This window comes from Homo sapiens, chromosome 6, assembly GCF_000001405.40.
Source record: "Homo sapiens chromosome 6, GRCh38.p14 Primary Assembly".
Lineage (NCBI taxonomy): Eukaryota > Metazoa > Chordata > Mammalia > Primates > Hominidae > Homo > Homo sapiens.
Genome location: NC_000006.12, coordinates 148922803 through 148942655, shown reverse-complemented (window position 1 = coordinate 148942655; position 19853 = coordinate 148922803). Strand labels below are relative to the sequence as shown.

The window sequence follows — 19853 nt, the reverse complement described above, 5'->3', positions numbered from 1 at the left end:
CTGAATGTTTCAAAGCTGGAGATTATGTCCAAAGAAAATGGACATGGATGGAAATTTATTTATTTATTTTTTTATTTACTTATTTATTATTTATTTATTGAGACAAAGTCTCGCTCTGTCTCCAGGCTGGAGTGCAGTGGTGCAATCTTGACTCACTGCAACCTCTGCCTTCTGGGTTCAAGTGATTCTCCTGCCTCCGCCTCCCGAATAGCTGGGACTACAGGCACGTGCCACCATGCCCAGCTAATTTTTTTGTATTTTTAGTAGAGACGCAGTTTCACCATGTTGGCCAGGATAGTCTCAATCCTGGCCTTGATCTCGATCCTCAGGCTCCCAAAGTGCTGGGATTACAGGCATGAGGAAATTTTTATAATGATGATCTCAACCTGATAGTGAGCCATGTTCCTTGTTTCTTCCCAACATGCAGGTACCACTCATTGGGTGGCTGCTCATCCTATGTATGTAAGGGGACAGAAGCCAGTTTCTGAGACCAGGATGACAAACCCAACTCTGTAAAATGACCATGAGAACACTCTATCTGACTTTTCTACATTAGCAAAGCACCCCCACAGAGACTGTTGCCCTTACCTCTATACAGGTTTGCAAAGTAAACCTTCATAGCTTCTTGGTAGAGGACAGCACTCCCATCCTACCATCAGCACGTCCACTTGTACAGCTCAGCTACACTAGGGCAAAATTGTTCCTGTGAAGTGGGGTCATTCTTTTCCTACCACTGAACATTCCAAATGCTGCTCTCAAAGCCTAAGATCCTCTGAGTTTCCCATAGCAGGAAGCTCATGTCCCCCATCAACCAATACAACCATAAAGATCCTGGACATTGGTGAGAAAATGAAGAGGGAAGAATATTAAAATAAAATCTTCTCATTTTGATGGTGAAGATGTCAGCATTATTTATAGCTCGGTGGTATGACTCTTTGAGATGTATATATCGCTAATTTTAGCTAACTAGACAAGGGCAAGTACATACAGTCCTTCATCAGTCCTAATGGAAGTATCCCTTCATGGATATTCCCTGGTTTATAGAGTTCTTATGGAACCCTTAACTTAAATTTCCTTCCACACTCTGGCAAAAATACAGCATGAAATCAAAACTCTGGTATTCACTCATCAGGAGTCTGAAGGATGACCTGTAAGGCACCCACTAGTTACACAAATGAGCTGAAGCAAAACACAATTTAACAATGTGCAAAGTCAACTTACTTGTTCATTTTTAGTAAGCCTGGTTTTGTTGTGAATGTCTGATGTGACCAAATTAAATCCGTGCTTCTCCGACAAGATTCTCAGAAGCAAGACCACAGTACGGCTCCCACACTTGCCTACCCTGTTGTACACCACCTGGCTTGGGAAAGGTAGTACCTGGGAAAAAAACCAAGAGAACAAACATGAAACGTCTGTATGGAAATACTTAGGATTCTTCCCTCAATTTCAGAACAATAACTGTTTCATATAATAAATCTGAGTGAAAAAGGCCTATAATCAGATTAATAAAAAGGATGTATATCAGTTCATCAGAAGTGATAAACTATATTTATCTTCATGATATAACAAGAGAAATGTTGGTCTTCTTAACTCTCTGCACTGATGAAATTTCAGGCAGTCTCTAAGATTGATTATCAAACTTGTTTTGTTTCTTTTTAAAAACAAAATACATAAATATGTTCCTTAATGACAATATTTTTTGCTATTATGCTTTATCAGAACAACTTAATTTACAGAGTGATCAAGAAGTGGAGTGGAATTCCAGAACTCTTAAAATGCAATAATAGAAAGACAATTTGTAAATGGATGATGGATTTGAATAGATATTTCTCCAAAGAAAATATACAAATGGCCAACAAGCACATGAAAAAATGCTCAACATCATTAGTCACAGGGAAATGCAAATCAAAATCGCAATGAGATACCACTTCACAGCCATGAGGATGGGTATAATAAACAACCAAGAAGACAGTAACAGGTCAGGAGTGGAGTGGAATTGCTGGATCATATGGTAACCGTAGGTTTAATTTTTTGAAGGACTGCTAAACCATTTTCAATACAGCTATACTATTTTATATTCCTACCAACAACATATGAGGGTTCCAATTTCTGCACATCCTTGCCAACACTTGTTATTGATATATATGTATTTTTTTATTTTTTTAGACAGGGTCTCACTCTTCTGCCCAGGCTGGAGTGCAGTGGCATGATCCTGGGCTCACCAACCTCCGTCTCCCGGGCTCATGCGATCCTCCCACCTTAGCTTCCCGAGTAGCTGGGACTACAGGCACACACCACGACTGGCTAATTTTTGTAATTTTTTTTTTTTTTGGTAGAGACAGGGTTTCACCATGTTGCCCAAGCTGGTCTCAAACTCCTGAGCTCAAGCAATCTGCTGGCCTCGGCCTCCCAAAGTGCTGGGATTACAGGCATGAGCCACCATGCCTGACCTGTTACTGTCTTTTTGGTTGTTTATTATACCCATCCTCGTTGCTGTGAAGTGGTATCTCGTTGTGATTTCGATTTGCATTTCCCTGTGACTAATGATGTTGAGCATTTTTTCATGTGCTTATTGGCCATTTGTATATTTTCTTTGGAGAAATGTCTATTCAAATCCATCATCCATTTACAAATTGTCTTTTTATTATTGCATTTTAAGAGTTCCATATATATATTCTGGATTTGCAAATACATAATCTACAAATATTTTCTCCCATCCTGTAAGTTGTCTTTTCATTTTCTTTATGGTGTCCTTTGAAGCACAGAAGTTTTTCATTTTGACTGAGTCCAATTTATCTAAATTTTCTCTGGTTGTTTTGGTTTTGGTGTCATATCTAAGAAACTATTGCCTAATCTAAGATCGTAAAGATATACATTTATGTTTCCTCCTGAGAGTTTTATAGCTTTATTTCTAACATTTAGGTATTTGATCCATTTTAAGTTACTTTTGTGTGTGGTGTGAGTTAGTTGTCTAACTTCATTCTTCTGCATGCAAATATCCAATTGTCACAGCACCATTTGTTGAAAAGACTCCTCTTTCTATTCTTTCCCCACTTAGCTGTTTAGTACCCTTGTCAAAAATTCACTAACCATAAGTGTATTTGGGGTCATTATTATTTCTGGATTCTCAATTCTATTCCCTTAATCTATATGTTTATACTCATGTCAGTACCACACAGTCTTATTATAGCTTTGTTCTAAGTTTTTAAATTGGGAAGGGAAGGGTAAGTCCCTCCAACTTTGTTCTTCCTTTTCAAGATTGTTTTTGGCTACTCTGTGTCCTTTGCATTTCCATGTGAACTTTAGGGTCAGCTTGCTAATATCTGCCCAAAAAAGTAGTTGAGATTATGATAAGGACTGCATTGAATCTGTAGATAAATTTGATTACGACAGCCACCTTAACAATATTGTCTTCCAATCCATGAACATGGATGTCTTCCTATTTATTTAGTTCTCCTTTAATTCGTTTCTTTGATGTTTTGTTGTTTTCATTGCTCATGCCTTATACTGCTGTTGTTGAATTTATTCTTTTTGATGTCATTATAAATAGAATTCTTCTCTTAGTTTCATTTTGGACTGATTGGTAAAAATACGATTGATTTTTCTATATTGATCTTATATTCCACAATCTTGCTGAACTCATTTATTAATTCCAATAGTTTTTTTGTGTGGATTCTTTAGGATTTTCTATAATAAGATCATGCTATGTGCAAACAGAGAAGTTTTACTTCTTCCTTTCCAATATGAATGTCTTTCCTTTCTTTTTCCTTTCTAATTGCCTAGTGGACAATGATTTTTATATACTATTATCTACTTCTTATCTTGATATACTACTGTTTATCTATTTTGATATAATATTATATACTATTTATACTATTATCTACTTTATTATATATTTTTCATAGCTATTATGAAAAGCATCTATGATTAATCATTTTTATCTGCAATAAAGATATTTCTCCATTTTGAATGCTCAGCATTGATCAACAACTGACAATAATCAAAGGATTCCTTCATTCAGCACATACTCATAACAGAAGGTCATTTTAAAAAGCTCAAAACTAAATAATAAAGCACAGTAGAAAATCATAAATACACTGCAAACATAAATATATTATGGTAGGTCATTTGAATTTTTGCCTTTGCAATTATAGGTTAATTTAATTTTCCTGAAATATTTGTATGCAGGGTAGCATTTAATAAATTTGAAGCTTAAAGGCTAGTTGTCACTGGAATAAAATATAATATCTATATCATTCACTTAACAACCAGTCACATGCCATTTTGGTGCAATTTTTCCATTATGTATTTTTTTCTTATGAGTAATACCTTGTTTCTTGAGGGCCAGTCTACTATGTGTCCTCACAGTGCCTAGAATGTGCTTTGTACATAAAGAGCCTAAACAGACACTGAATGAGCCCTAACTGCTCTGAGGAATTTAATGTGCTGCTTAACACTAATTAACACAACAATTTCACTAAAATGTGAAACCAAGAGAATCTTCAAATACAGCTGCTTTATCTGACCAAATGCTATTTGAAGTCATCAGAGAAAATAAAAAGATGGTCATTTTAATAGGTCATTGTTACTTATGGTTTAATCAGTGAGTACTTCAAAAGCCTGTTCATTGGCAACAATTACAGAAGTCCAGATATTCAGAAAAATAAATTACATTCTTGGCTACAAGGTTATGATCAGGAAGGTTGAATTAGGTTTCATGTTTAGTTTAATGGTACAAATAGCATTTATAAGTTGGAGTTTCCATTACAACCAGGCTGGGGTATGAAATTATGGCTACGACAGAGCTGCCAACATAAACTCAGAGTTTAATTCCTCCATAGAAACAAACTGTCCAACAATTGGGATAGGTGCATTTTTTCCCGTCTCATAGCACATTACGGAATAGCAAGGAAGAATGTGTTACATCTGAATTAATGACCTAGAAGATGGGAGTTACCACATAGGTAAGTACTTTATTACAAGAGTACAGGTGCCTCTTGGACAGTTTAAGTGAATAACTGAGGCACTTACCTAGAAAACTTAGGTGAAATCACTTAATTTCTCCTGAATTGTTTGGGTAATCAGCACAGTAGCAGGCTTAGTATCTATCTGATTCTTTTTACTAATAACCAAAGATGTTATTTACCTTTAGGCTATTGGGTAATTCATTTTTTAAAAGATGTTAATTCTAATTGTTTTATTAGTTTGTGGCAAGCTTCCAACTAATAGTTTGAAAGTTTGTTATTTAAAAAGAACGCGTCTATAAGAACAAAACATCCTGTGTCATTTCTGCAGCTGGGTCTACGATAATAACTTGAGATAAAGGAGGGCTTAACATCCTCACAGTGACGGTACTTCTATCATTTCTCTAAATACCAATACACACCTACATGATATGAACATAAAAGCAGGAAATGTGTTTTCACTAAAATTTCTGGAATCAGCCTTGTGAGTTTTAAAGACACCTAATGCACTACCACAAACGTAAGTAAACCTGTCTGAAATTTAGGGTGGGGTTTTTAATCATTTTCTAAAAGAACCTATGTAATGCATTGAAACTTGCCGAATTAAGCAGCTAAATCAATGTGTAGATGTTGGATACAGTGTTAACAAGAAGCAGATTCCTCCTGTTCCTGGTAGAACTATAGATTTGTTTCTGATGGCCAGGCATGGTGGCTCATACCTGTAATCCCACCACTTTGGGAGGCTGAGGTGGGTGGATCACCTGAGGTCAGGAGTTCGAGACCAGCCTGGCCAACACGGTGAAACACTGTCTCTACTAAAAATACAAAATTAGCTAGGAGTGGTGGCAGGTGCCTGTAGTCCCAGCTACTCAGGAGGCTGAGGCAGGAGAATCGCTTGAAGCCGAGAGGCAGAGATTGCAGTGAGCTGAGATCGCGCCATTGCACTTCAGCCTGGGTGACAGAGTGATACTTAGTCTCAAAAAAATAAAAATAAATAAACAAAAAGAAAATAAGATAGATTTGTTTCTGAAGGTCTGCTTTAAAAATGTTCATCACCTTTTATTTGAAATGCACTTTCTGGAAAGATGGCAAAAAAAAAAAAAAAAAAAAAAAAAAAAGGACTGATTTTTAAGGAGGGAGGGACTGACCCTGTCCTAGGTTCTGTGACATGTAAACCCTTTTCATCCTTGTTTAACAATACAGAATGAAACAGCATAACTGTCTTTTACTCTGGCTGTGCATTTCTCTAAGAGTGTAAATTATCAAATGGCTTAAGTATCATTAGTAGCATCCAAGTAACTCCCTCTGTGTGCCCCCCATACTCCCCGTGGATCACAGATTCCTAACATAATGGAGTTTGAGGTCCAGAAGCAATTTAGAATAATTCATCCATTCAACACCCCCTAGCCACAACTATCACCCTCTATCACCCCCATCTCCAGCCCAATCTGTGTTTGATTTGGATGAAATTTTCCTTTACACTATGTAGATATTACAACTATTTTTACATGAGTAAACTGAAGCCCAGAAATATCATTTGGCATCTTCAAGGTCACAAAGCTAGAGTGACACATAACCACGAAAGCCCAGCTCTCGGCTCTCCTGACTCCTAAGATGACACTTCTTTAATATACAAATCAAATAGTGAAGAGAATTTTTAGTTTGACTTCTGTGACAGAGATCCTCTTTCCTTTTTTATGTCTTGCATGTATCCAACCTCATTGAATACACTGTTTTTCAACAGTCGGCGATCACAACCAGTATCATCAGCCATTACTCAGCCATGACTCAAGTCCCCAGAAGGCTTAAGTGGAACTGACAGGAGCAGATTAGCCTCTCTCTCCTTCCTAAGGACTCTTTCTAGAAAGCTAATGGAAGCCCAGAGTGTCAACGCAGCTAATTGGAGAAGAAGGTGGCAGGATGTATACTTTTCCCTTCCCTCCTTCCCCTGATATATCACAGGCGGTCAAAGTAGACAGCTGCCTCAAATATTGTCAACTGCTTCCACTGGGAAAGGAAAAAACCAAGAAGCAGTAAGTTATAGTAAAATGTATACAAAATCCTAAGTATATTTGGAATGTCTATCAGGACAAGCAAATGCCCTCAAATGATAAACTCAATCACTGTGAAAAGACTTTTAAAGACCTCTTAGGATCAATCTCGAAATCTTCATTATCCTTAACAGATACTTGCAATTGTCAGGCCGAGAACTCTATCCTCTACTTTAATGTTCCTATTATCATTTGCACAGAGAGTTTGAATGCTCACTCTTTCTTTAGGTGCCCTATAGAGAAGTACACATGAAACTCCTCAAGCACCCTCTCCCTCCCCCAAGTGATTCTTCATTCTTGGCAACTGCGGTTATATGAATGTTATGTCTGTGATTTCTATTTTATGGCCAATTTGTAAAAGTGAAGGGGCCTCCAAAATCTTTCATTCTATGAATTATATATTTTTATGCTGCCTGCCTTGTAAGTTCTGCAAATGCCACAAATCCCCAGAGCCTGACAGGCCTGTGTGGAGCGTGCCAGATAAACAGAAATCTTTCCAAGATCCTGAGCACGACAGGAACCACCACCAGATGACATCCACAAGTTCAATAGCTTAGCCCTGGTTTGAAATGGGGAGAAGAGAAGGAAGGCTTTCTAGGTAAAAAGTAAATGTGGTCTGGACCAAGACTTTCATAGTCTATGAGACCCAGAGTCTATAGAGCTCTTCTGGGGATTGGTAATGTTGGAAGAATTAACATCAGTGCTGCTTTTAATTCTCTGCAAAATGATACTTAATATAGTACAAGCTGTGGTTCGCAAATAACTGTATATTCAAATTCCTCACAGAACTTTTAAAAATGCAGATTTCTGGGCCACACTCTAAGACGAACTGAATCACAGTCTAGGATGAGAGTCAGGAGTCTCTCTCTAAAAAGCTCACCAGGGCCCTCTGCCAACTCCATCAGCTTTGAGGAAGTGCTGTCACAGAGGACTCCCAGCTTTCTGTATTAAGTGGCTGAGTGGGTCCTTGAAGCCTTCTGAGGGATTAAGGCTGGGGAGAAGGTTGCCTGCGTGATCCTGGAGAGGAGTTGGGGCGAAGGGCACTGTTGTGTCTTCCTGGGGTCTCATTGTGTGTTGATGAGCTCCACTCACATTTACCAGTCATAATTAACCTCATAAGTATGCTCACACTCTCCCAGGCTAGTTAGAGAACAGGTGTGCTGGTTAACTGAATGTGTAGGTTAACTGAAATTTATACTGAATGTTGTTAAAGCATTAGACCCTTAGCATGAATATTATACTGACTGTGAAATGACTTTGCTTGACGAATAAAACTGCAGTTCATGATTTTTCAGCAACTCCATTTCATGGTTAATCAAACTAACACTTGAAAGAGTCACAGCCAGGGCTGTGCAAGGCCTGAATTCAGGGACAATTCTGTTCCTCACTGTCCATAGGACTGTGAGCAGTTTAAATCCACTCAGCAAATCCTCATGTTAAAGTTCCTAGGACACTGTGGTGCTAGAAGCCAGTCACTTCACACCCTTGAGCCCCAGTTTCCTCACTTATAAAAAGGGGAAAGTTAGGTTATAACCCAATAAATGATATTTTCTTCTGAAGCTATTAAATTAATTTCAGTCCATATTGCTACCAAGATATAATCTGGAAAACGCCTTAAAAGTTAAAACTAGATTTTACCGTGTTTCCTTGTTTGTGGAATATATTCATTAAAGAAACAGAAAAAACAAAGTTCCAGTAATTTGTGCTGATGACATGGGTTCCAACTCCATAGGCGTTCCCAGTTTTATTTTGGACACCTTGGCTGTCCTATTCTTGTTTGGGCTTGTCCCATAATAAATCTACCTTTATCTTCCTTTTATCTTTCTCTTCCTTTCCACAGTTTTAATCATTTCAAGCTTCCCATTTTGAGATCATCGCCAAAGCCTCCCAGAACTCGGCAGTGATTCTCACTGGCCTTTGCCCATCAAACCATCTGAGCCACACACATCTGTTTTCTAATTACCATCATCTCTTCTGCTCCCAGTCTCCTTTCCTCCATTCTAGGGGAGGAAATACACAGAACCGATCTCAGAATTCTATTTCCCCTCATTGCAATCCTCCTGAACAGAAGGCTCTTTCCATCCACAACTCTCAAATGACATCCTGCGTGCTTCTCATTATTCAAGCCCATCTTCTCCAAGAGCTATGCCAAATCTGAACCTTTGGCTTTCTTCTCTTCCCCTGTTCCCACTTGAAACAATTCCATGTGTAATGCTACCTACAGAAAAATAAATATAGCCATAGATCATTTACAAGTCCATCTGGGTCTATCTGTTATGTGCATAGTGGATAATTAATAAAAATAATCTATCTGTTATGTATATAGTGGATAATTAATAAAGAGTATAGACTAGACTATTGGGATGAAAATACGATTATAGTAAGTGCTGTAGAACCAATGCTGTCATATTTATTATTATAAAGGATGCTCTTTCAGTTATCTCTTAAAACTATAAGAAAATCTACCAATTTTTTCTTAACATTCATAATATTTTGAAACCCCTGATTTGCTACGTTACAGAAGAAAAAGTATGTTGAAGTCGAAGGTTCCCTGGACTGAAAGTTATGAAACTCTGGCATTCCCCTTGGCTTTATCACTCTAAGTAGTTGAGTGACATGAGCAAATGATCCTGAACAACTTCTCTAAGTCAAAGTTTCCTCAAAGTATAGAATGAGGGCACTGAACCTAATGATTCCCAAGGCTCCTCCCTGTCCATGTGCCATATGTTAACCGAGGGCTACACAATACTTAGGGATGACCACAGGGTTATCTGAGTGGCATCCTGCACTTCTAAATATTAATTCCATTCTGTATACCTAATGTCCTGTTATCTCCATAACGCACATCATCACTATGCTATTCCCAGAACACAATAGCCTGCATGCTGTACCAGAATTTTCATACAAAGAAGCAATTTTCACAAGGAGCCATAAGTCATTTTCTAGATGTAATGATTAAGCTACCATAGTTGGATCCTTGAAGAGTGCTTCAGGAAAAAAATACAAGACTTCCAGTTTGAGCAGGAACTCAAATTTCAGGTGACACTGGTGAATGCTATCAATGCCATAGACCAAAAGATGAATATTTTCAAATTTCAAATTAACAAATATGAAAAAAATATACATATGAGGAACAAAGAGATTCACTTTTAATGCCACAGTACCCTTTAAGCTTCTGTGGTCAGTACACAAATAATAGGCAAAAAGCAGCCATAAACTGGGTATCTCATTACCACAGAATGTTACAGTTTCCTTTTTTTTGAGACGAGGTCTTGCTCTGTTGCCCAGGCTGGAGTGCAGGAGCACAATCTTGGTTCATTGCTACCTCTGCTTCTCAGCCTCCAGTGATTCTCATTCCTCAGCCTCCTGAACAGCTAGGATTACAGGCACACAGCATCATGCCTGGCTAATTTTTGTATTTTTATTACAGACAGGATTTCACCCTGTTGGCCAGGCTGGTCTCGAACTCCTGGCCTCAAGTGATTCACCTGCCTCGGCTTCTGAAAGCGCTGGGATTACAGGCATGAGGCACCGCGCTCGGCCAAAAATGTTACAGTTTCTAAAATTCAAACTGCAGTTGGGTCCATAGGAATCCATGGAATACTTGTATGTTTGACAGAAAGAGAAATGAAATCCACATGCCACACACATGAAATGTAAGCACAATGGGAGAGTGCAAGTTTGCGAGGCTAAACCTTCCTGAAGGCATATTTCCAAGTGGGACTTGTCTTCCTTTTGCATACACAAGGTAGCCCTACTGCACTTGTGCTTGGCGGCTTCTGTCCACTCTTCTAAGAGGCCTTTCAACTTCTCTATGGCTTTTATGATCAAAATTAAGTGGAGAAACCCACGTGGATGTGGAAGTCCTGTTTAACCTCATCTTCCCGTGAACATCTGTTATGCATGTGGATGTACCCTGTATGTTTTTGTTGTGCTCAAAAACATTATGAGTAATATTGTTGCAGTCACATCAGACTTGTAGCCATTTCTAACACTTTCTTACATGCTATGTATTCAGTCGTCCAAAAGTCCTTATTAGACAAACTCTGAGGATGAAAGTAGGAGGGTTCTCAAATTAGTTCTAGTTTGCAGTTGTTCCATTTTTAGTATTAATCAATTCGATTGGCTTTTTACATTAACTTTTGGACCAGAGTACGGAATTACAAAAATGCGTTTGGATAGATAATCTCTCCACTAGACCCACACACTTAATTTGACTCTCCATTCAGATCTGTAATACATTTTTGTTTAATCACACAAATCTCCAAATAAAACATGCATAGACACTTTTGTTTATACAGACTTCTAAGGTTTAAGAGTCTGCTCTAAAGCTAAGTTTCATTTCTCTATATTTATCCTATTTTGTTTTAGTTAACAATTTATACTCTGAGTCCAACCTCAAAACTCATTTGCTATTATACAAATAGAGGAGAAGTATTGATTATTGATTGGAGGTTTCATAATTTATAGCAGATATTGTTGGCATGGGCCAACCACTCGATTTAGAATGATCTTCTCTGGATGTTAGTGGGGAAAGAGTCCATTATTCTCATTACAACCCTCAGAAGAAGAGACTGCCCTCACTGAAAATAGTATAAAGGCTGGGGAAACAGCCACACTTGGCTGCCAAGACTCCTCTCTCATCAAAGCACTGTGCAAAGATTTTAAGACCAAAAGCTTGGATATACTGTTCACTGTGAATCACATCATTATTTTCCATTTGAAATGTCTGAATCAAATGTTAGTTTCTTGAGTGTGAATTGTACTGAGAAACTTATTCTTAGATTCAAATGATCATTGTTTAAATCTCTTAGCTGAGTTTTAGGCTTATATAACATAACCCATAATTTAAAATAGTGTGGCAGATTGGTACGATAATGGCCCCTGACCAGTCACACCTCTTCCTATCCCTGCACCGTGTAACTTCCTTCCACACGGCCCTCTAGACTGGCCACATGACTTGCTTTGGCCATTAAGACATTAGTAAGTGCAATACAAACAGATGCTTGAAAACAGCCTGCATGTGGGGGCTTCACCTCTCTTTCCCCTAGGAGGTTTTCCACCATCGTATGAACTTAGGCTAGCTTCCAGGAAGATAAAAGGTGGCACAGAATATTGAAAATTCTGTGACTAAATTCAGCAAGTAATTATTGAGCATTTACTGCGTGCTAGTCATTTGGTTAGGCATAAGAAATTGGTTGACTGCTGTAATTATTTGATTGCCTGTCTCACTAGATTTTAAACTCCATGACTGCAGGGGCCACATCTGCTTTTTCTGACTATTGTATCTTCAGTGTTCAGCTCAATGCCTGGCACATAGTAGGCACTCAATAAATAATTGTTGAATAAGTGAATACATCAAAGGTTACAACAAGTCTCTTGCCCTGTAAGAACTCACAATCTAACAAGGGAATTGAACGCTGACACTGCTTGCGCTGATACCATGTGGTAAGCGCCCCACTAGAGATATGCATACAGTGGTATGAGAACGGAAGGGGTGATCAACTTGGCCTTGAGAACTCAGGGAAGGGGTCACAGAGAACACGGCATTTGAACGGAGTCTTGGTATCTCTAGAAATTGTATGGCTTCAAAGGGATAGCCATTTTCCCTTTGCAAAGTACACCTACCCAATTCTTATTGATTTGCATTAATAAGAAACTTTCTAGCCTCCCTCCCATGTTTGATTTGGCTATGTGGAATTGGCTTCTTGGCATTTTTCACATCGTGTGTGTGTCTGTGTGTTGCACGTATGATATGCAAGGAAAACACACCATACAAAATTCATCAACTCTCTGGCCTAGTGTTTCCCCTCATACATACTGAGCATAGCAACACAGCAGGACAACTGAGTTGCAGCTCAAGAACAAATGGGTTAAACATGGCTAAAGAACTTCTCTGCTTTATGTTACATCTCCATGTATCAATACGAGGATGCTTGTATCTGCAGGTAACCAAAAACCCAACGAAACTCAAACAATAAAGAGAATACATTCTCTCGTAAATAAATAGGAAAATATATTCTCTTACAAAAGTCCTTAGGTATGGAGGTTTTAGGCCTCATTCCATACTTTTGTTCCATCTCGCTCTTCCATCCTGGAAATGCCAGCATTGTCCTCAGACTAGCTTTTCTTATGTTTCATGATGGCTGCTGCAGTTCCAGCCATCCCATGCAGAATTACAAAGTCTGGGGCAAGAAGAGACTATCTTTCCTGGGTGCTTCCTTTAAGATCTGAAAATCCTACCTAGAAGGCCCTGAGAAAATTTCTCATGTTCCATTGGTTTGGTCTAAACTTCCAGTGTACATCTCAACTAGCCATGAGCAAAGGAAATAAGACAACCATGCTAGGCTTAGATTAATCAGGACTCACTCATGAGCTAGGGTGGAACTGCCTTCCTCTTAGGGTAAAACTTGAACAAGTCAGATTTCTGCTAAAGAGGGGGAGGCTGTGGGAGAATGGATATGGAGTAAGTAACCAGTAGGGTCTGCTGTACCCCACCACTCAAAGGCCCTGTTGTTCTTGATTCTTCAAACACCTGTTCATGAAAATCTCCATTCCTCATCTACAGAAAAGGGAGTAAGAGCAGCAAACACCAAGGACATTCTCAACATGTGCGAAGGATCCATGGCTGTGTCCTATCCATATCCCCACAGCTGCTCCCTGCCCTAGGCATAGATTTGCTGATAGCTGGAGAAGAGGAGAGATGAAATACATTCCTTTCTACATAAAATGACATTGCTTCCCACACTGAAATGAGATAGAGAATTAGCAACAAGGTGAACTTGAGCTGGGAGATTAACTCCACACAAGAATCCAGAAATCATAAGGTATTTTTAGCTAGAGATGGCAATAAGACATTTAAATTGCTCTCAGATGAAATTATGTCTTAACTGCCTACATGTTGGGGGCTTTTCACAAGTATACCTTTTTCATAATTGAATTAATTTTGAACAAATGTGGCATGGAATCTAGACGCAATCCACCAGCATAGATCTGATCATGGAATGCTCTTTTCCACAGTATCTATTGGCTGGTTTTTGCTTTCATCTGTTACCTGGTCCTGGGTAAACAGATTTTTCAGAAATCTCCACCAGGATGGATGGGGGAACCCATTTCCTATAGGGAACTGTTATTACATTCAGGCTATCAAACAGTGCTAAATAAAATAAATCATTATTCAAAAAATATTTTTATAAATTGATACAGATATTTTCCATCTCTTGGGATTTTGTGATCTGATAGAAAGAGGAAAAGAGAAAGACAGTTTATAGAGCAACAATTGTCTCTATAGCTAGACTCACTGGATGGATATAAAACTTCTGACTTCCCCTATAATGGTCAAGAAGTTGGACCTGACTAAGCAATAAGAAAATCCTCATCAGGAGAGTTTAGTTAAAGAAACAAATGAAGGAAACAGAAGTTTAAAATGAGGGCAAGAGCCCCAGGTTTTAAGAGTCTATTGCTGATCTCAGACTGTAGTTGCCCTAGGGCAATAGAGTGAAAAAAAAAAAAAATCTTAGTGATGGGTTGAGCACTTGCTTGGGTCAGAGTCTGGGTAAGGCCACTGTCCAACCTATGTCATTGTAGTGCAGGAGCTCATCCTCCACCAGTGACACAAATACCTCCCCTCCAGGCCTTCACTGGGGACTGTACCCTTGGATGGAGAGCTGCTTATGTCTATCAAAGGGCTGGCTGAAAGATGTCAAAAGTAAGGGAGATTGTTTGAGGATACAGACTCCATCCATTTCTCTGTACATTTTGAATTTTTAGCCTTGGTCCAAGTTGGACCATCAAAAAGCTGTCTATTGAAGCATAACTTCTTGGCCCCATCTAGAGCTGCTTTGACTGAGTGACATTTTGGCATCATATCCTTGGCAGCTCTCAAGTGACACCATATGATAGGACATCTCACAATCCAGTTCTGTTTTGGAATGGGGATGTCATTGAGCACAATGTCTTCTATCTTTCTCATTTTTTTTCATCCCAGGGCTCTTAATTTGGTGGTGCCTTTCACGCAATATCTCACTTAATTTGTAAAATGACCTCAGAACCATGAGTATTAGTGCTCCCATATTAAAGAAGAAAAGGCTGGGAATTAGGGGGATTAAATAACTTGTTCAAAGTCTATTCCAGAGCTGGTACTCAAGCTCTCTAATCCACTACACTGTAGGACAAATGACTGTATTATTTTTTCTTCTCATGGAAAATGAGAACGACATTACCATTTATGGCCCCATTTTTTCTTGGCTACCAGAAAATCCAAAGTAAAGTTTGTTCAACTATGGCAATTAGTGGTATGATGGTTTATATAATTGTTTTTTCACCAATTACGCTAACCTGATGAACTCACTAGCCTGTAAGGCTATGGGAAGGCCAAGACTTCAATGTATTTCTATGATTTTTCCCCTTCCTCCCTCCCACTGGTCCTCCTCCTCCCCTTTCCCTCCCCTTTCTCTCTCTCTCTCTTTCTCACTCTCTCTTTGTTTTGTTCTCTCTCTTTGCAACTGTACTTAGCTCAATACATAACGGGGACGTAAGGACAACTGAATGATGGATGAATTCTTACCATGCTCCAGCAGTAATGTCTTCAGAGAATATTTTAAATTCAGAAGGTAAATATACCCCATTATTGTATTGTTAATTGCTTTCTTTCATCCCCATAGAGTCCTCACCTTCAATATGAAAAAAAAACATTTTTTCAAACCTATTACTAACTATATAGAATATTTTGAAATGACAACCCCCTATAGCAGATTCTGCTAGTTGCTTACCTAATATCTACTTTCCTCTCTTCCTAAAGGAACCATGACCTCATTCTAGGTAACAATATGCCCAGCTAAAAATAGTCACCCTAGACTCACTTGAAGTTGGGAGTGATAGAGTGATGGAGTTCTGTCCATTCATTCAACAAATGAATGAGTTATAAATGAACACTGCTGAGTTGGCCTCTTGGGCAATTTTTAATGACAGACAGATTCCTCTGGCATTGTTTTTCAGTCCTCTGCCTTGACTTTCCATTCTATTCTCCTCCCTGGAACACAGACACCACGCCTAGAGTTGCAGAAGCAATCCTGTGACCATGAGGCAAGAAGCATGAGGGCCATGCTACAAGCCAAGATCTGCAAGCTAATGAAGACAGAGAACGAAGATAAGAGGTAGACCCCAGTGATATCACAGTGCCACCACACCAGACCTGGACTGCTTAATGCATGAAATAAAAAGGGCTCTCCACTTGTGTGGGTCACTCTTGTCAGGTTTTCTGTTTGTTAGCCCAATGCATTTCTGATATAGGCCTTTCTCTTTTTAATTTTTTGCTAATTTTATTCATTTTTAAAAATGGCTACAGGTATTATCCTCTGAGAAAATCAAAATCAAGTGCACTCACAGTGAAAAGAGTTCTAAGTCTCATATCATTCCTTTTGATCCTGTAGTACACTGACATTGTAGTAACAGCACTATTAGCTTCGAAATGCTGTATCGATGATCAAAATATGTCAGTGGAAAGGATCTCATAAAGTGTGCTGCTTTCTTTCTTCAATTACTTTAAAAGTCTGTCATTAAACATTTCTGGGGGTAGTTTATAAAATATTTATGGTTGGAAGCCAAAGGTAGCTGGAGAAGAAGAAATGTTTGTTATAAATATATTTCTCTACTCACAAGCTGTCAAAGGAACTCACTGTAGTTTTTGTAATCTGCTAGGTCACGGTAAAGTTCCCTTCTGTGAATGTATGTGGTCTACTTAAAACAACAATAACAACCACACTCATTTGCTCAGAAGTCCAGCTAAACAATCTTTCAGCCCCTGTGTAATTTTAGTGTAAGCGCATTAAAAATTCAAAGCATCTTGCACCTGGAAATTATGTGGTCAATAAACAACTTTTGACCTAGTTGTGAGAGTTGCTCTCAAGGTTAAACTATGTTCATCCAGTCATCATGGGGAGTGACCAAAGGGTCACTTGCATCCAAGTGCAGAAATGCAATTTTATTTTTCAGGAATTTATACACAATTCCTTTGAAGATTCAAGAGGAGTAATATTTAGTAGGCTTTGACATTAAACGTGTAGAATTGTGACTTGGAAATATTCCCCCCTTTCTTCCACTGGGCAATGTTTGCAAACAACCTACACATTGGCAACCTTTGGAAAAAACCTACTACTATAAACTTTAAAGGTTTTTTCTCTTTTTCTTCTTTCTTTTTTTTTGTAGAAAGTTTAAAAGTCATTGTGAGTTGCAAGTCCTTCATCTGCATTCGTCCCTTTCTTTTTAAAGGTGTTCCTTATCTGTTGAAAAAGCTTGTGCCTGCTTTTGCCTGAGAATTGTAAACCGCTCAACTCAGATTGCTGGAAGCACCTTAAACATCTGCTCCCCTCAGACCGTTGCTGTCCTGCCTTCATCTTATATGCTTTAATCGGTGGGCTCTTCTGGACTTTTTTATGGGGGCAAGTAGTCAGGTCACAAATCAGTCTCCTTCTTTTTCTCTCATACACAGAGCTCAAGTTCATTGTAAAAATCATGTTTAGTACAGAAGGAACCAAAACAGGAGGGCACATCATGTCAGCAGTGTTTGCAGAGCTAATTCCATCAAACGTCAGTGAAAGCTCTGGGGTAAAAGCAATGCATCAGTTTCTGCATGAGGAATTCAACATAAACATGAATATTAGAAAAATAAGTGGAGACAAGAAATTCTTTGAAAATGCCCCAAAGTAATAGAATCAAGCAGGCATAGTCACGCCTGCTTTTCTTATTTAGAATCTCAAAAACACGCATTCCACCTTCTCTCAGCCCAGCCCCAACCAAGAGAATGCAAATCCTGAATTCATGCAGCCTGGCTGAGAGAAAGCTGTGTCTTTCCAGGAGAGGCCCAAGAGCTATTGGGTTGGGGTCTGTTACCCACAGGCCAAGTTTCTTCTCCGAAAGGGAGTTGTGAATTACCAAGAAATGTGTTCCTGGGAAGTCCAGCCCACATGTGACGGCCTAGGGGAAATTCAGAGTGTCCCCCCACACTAACGTATCTGGGGATACAATTGGGACAAGGGCATTGCTCTGCTCAAATGCAATGCACAGGAGGACAGCCAAAGCCAAGTGCCAGTCTCCTCTCCCCTTAGGACTTAAGCAAAACTGTGTGGCTGGCAAAACCGTCTTCAGTGTCCTCTTCTCCCCAACTCCCCTTTCATTCCCTGAACTCACAGCTGCTAACTTCCTACTGTGTGCCCGAGGATGCAGTGATGGAGAAGCTGCTGATTGTCTCCTAGGGATTTCTTTGTGAAAAGGGCTATGTCAGAGATAAGTACAAGGTGATAAGGGACCAATGAGTAGGGACATCTGGCCCTGAAGTGGGGGTGAGCAGGGCAGGGACGAGGGGCTGTCAGAGAAGGGCCTAGAGCAAGAATCAGGAAACTTAGGTCACATATTCTTTGTTTTGATTACAACCCTTTAAAAAATGTCAAAACAATTCTTAGCTTGTGGGAGGTAAAATATTACACTGATGTGGCCTATGGGTCATAGTTTGCTGACCCATCTTCTAGAGAAAATAATACCTGTGTCAAGTCCCTTAGGATAAGACATAAAATTAACTACTGTTTAGTAAGCACTTGGATTTGTCAGGTCTTAGACCAGCTGCTTTATAAAGCTCATTTCATTGAATCATCACAATACCATAAGAGGGCTATAGTCATCAGAAGGAAATATCACCAATATTATTTACTGACGAGGAAACCGAGGTCCAGGGGCATTAAATCCTTTGTTGAATGTCAGAGCCCTCAGCCCAGCTGAAAACAGGAACCCCGGCCTATCTGGCTTCCAAGCGACCAACTACAATCCAAGTACAGTTGTATATCTAAGTCCTGCCCTGGACAAAGGCCCCCAGGAGTGGGGAGGGGCTAAAATTCTGAGCACACCCTACTGGCCAATCCCTCATCCTGGGTCAGGTGATGGTCTCGATCTCCTGACCTTGTGATCCACCCGCCTCGGCCTCCCAAAGTGCTGGGATTACAGGCATGAGCCACCGCACCCAGCCAAAGCCTATTATTCTTAAAACTGTAACTAAAAATAATTAGGAAGAGACTCTAGCATTTTGCTTATATCCCTGAAACACAGAACATGCTAACCCTTTAAACACTGATTAAAAAACATGGAGTAATCACAATGAGATACCACTTTATAGCCACCTGGCTGACTATAATCAAAAAGATGAACAATGACAAATGTTGGCAAGGATACAAAGACACTGGAAGCCTCCTACATTGCTGGTGGAATGTAAAATGGTGCATCCACTTTGGAAAACAGTCTGGCAGCTCCTCAAAAAGCTAAACATAGAGTTACTATATGACCCAGAAATTCCACTCCTAGGTGTATACCCAAGATATGTCCCCAAAGTCTTGTATTGAAATATTCGTAGAAGCATTATTCATAATAACCCAAAAGTGGAGACGACTGAAATGCCCATGAAATGATAAGCAGATAACTAAAACATGGTATGTCCATGCAATGTCACTATTTTAAGCATAAGCATTTTTTTTAAGGGTGGGAGTTGGGTACAGGCAGCTGGACACTAAAAGGCTTATGCCTGTAATCTCAGCACTTTGGGAGGCCGAGATGGGTGGATCACTTGAGGCCAGGCCAAGAGTTTGAGACCAGCCTGGCCAACACGGTGAAACTCCATCTCTACTAAAAATTAAAAAATTAGCCAGGTGTCATGGGGCATGCCTGTAATCCCAGCTACTTGGGACGTTGAGGCATGAGAACTGCTTGAACCTGGGAGGTGGAGGTTGCAGTAAGCCGAGATCGTGCCACTGCACTCCAGCCTGGGTGACAGAGAGAGACTCCATCTCAAAAATAA

The 19853-nt window shown here is 39.4% G+C and overlaps 1 protein-coding gene across 7 annotated transcripts in view, besides 1 other annotated feature; it reads right to left on the bottom strand.

The window, feature by feature from the left end:
- UST (uronyl 2-sulfotransferase) overlaps positions 1-19853 on the bottom strand; it is a 329961-nt gene that overhangs the window by 134335 nt on the left and 175773 nt on the right. For all 7 annotated transcript variants that reach the window (XR_001743088.3, XR_007059195.1, NM_005715.3 and 4 more), the window contains exon 3: positions 1222-1377. Coding sequence is in view for 5 of the 7 variants with exons in the window: in NM_005715.3 (NP_005706.1) it covers positions 1222-1377 (156 nt within the window). In the remaining 2 variants the exon portion in view is untranslated. The remainder of the gene's footprint in view (positions 1-1221; positions 1378-19853) is intronic.
- Positions 18094-18712: an enhancer, noted in NCBI's record as "NANOG-H3K27ac-H3K4me1 hESC enhancer chr6:149245080-149245698 (GRCh37/hg19 assembly coordinates)". NCBI's record gives its function as "activates a minimal SCP1, AML or CMV promoter by ChIP-STARR-seq in primed H9 embryonic stem cells {active_cell/tissue: H9 hESC(primed)}" and the evidence as "EXISTENCE:reporter gene assay evidence [ECO:0000049][PMID:30033119]".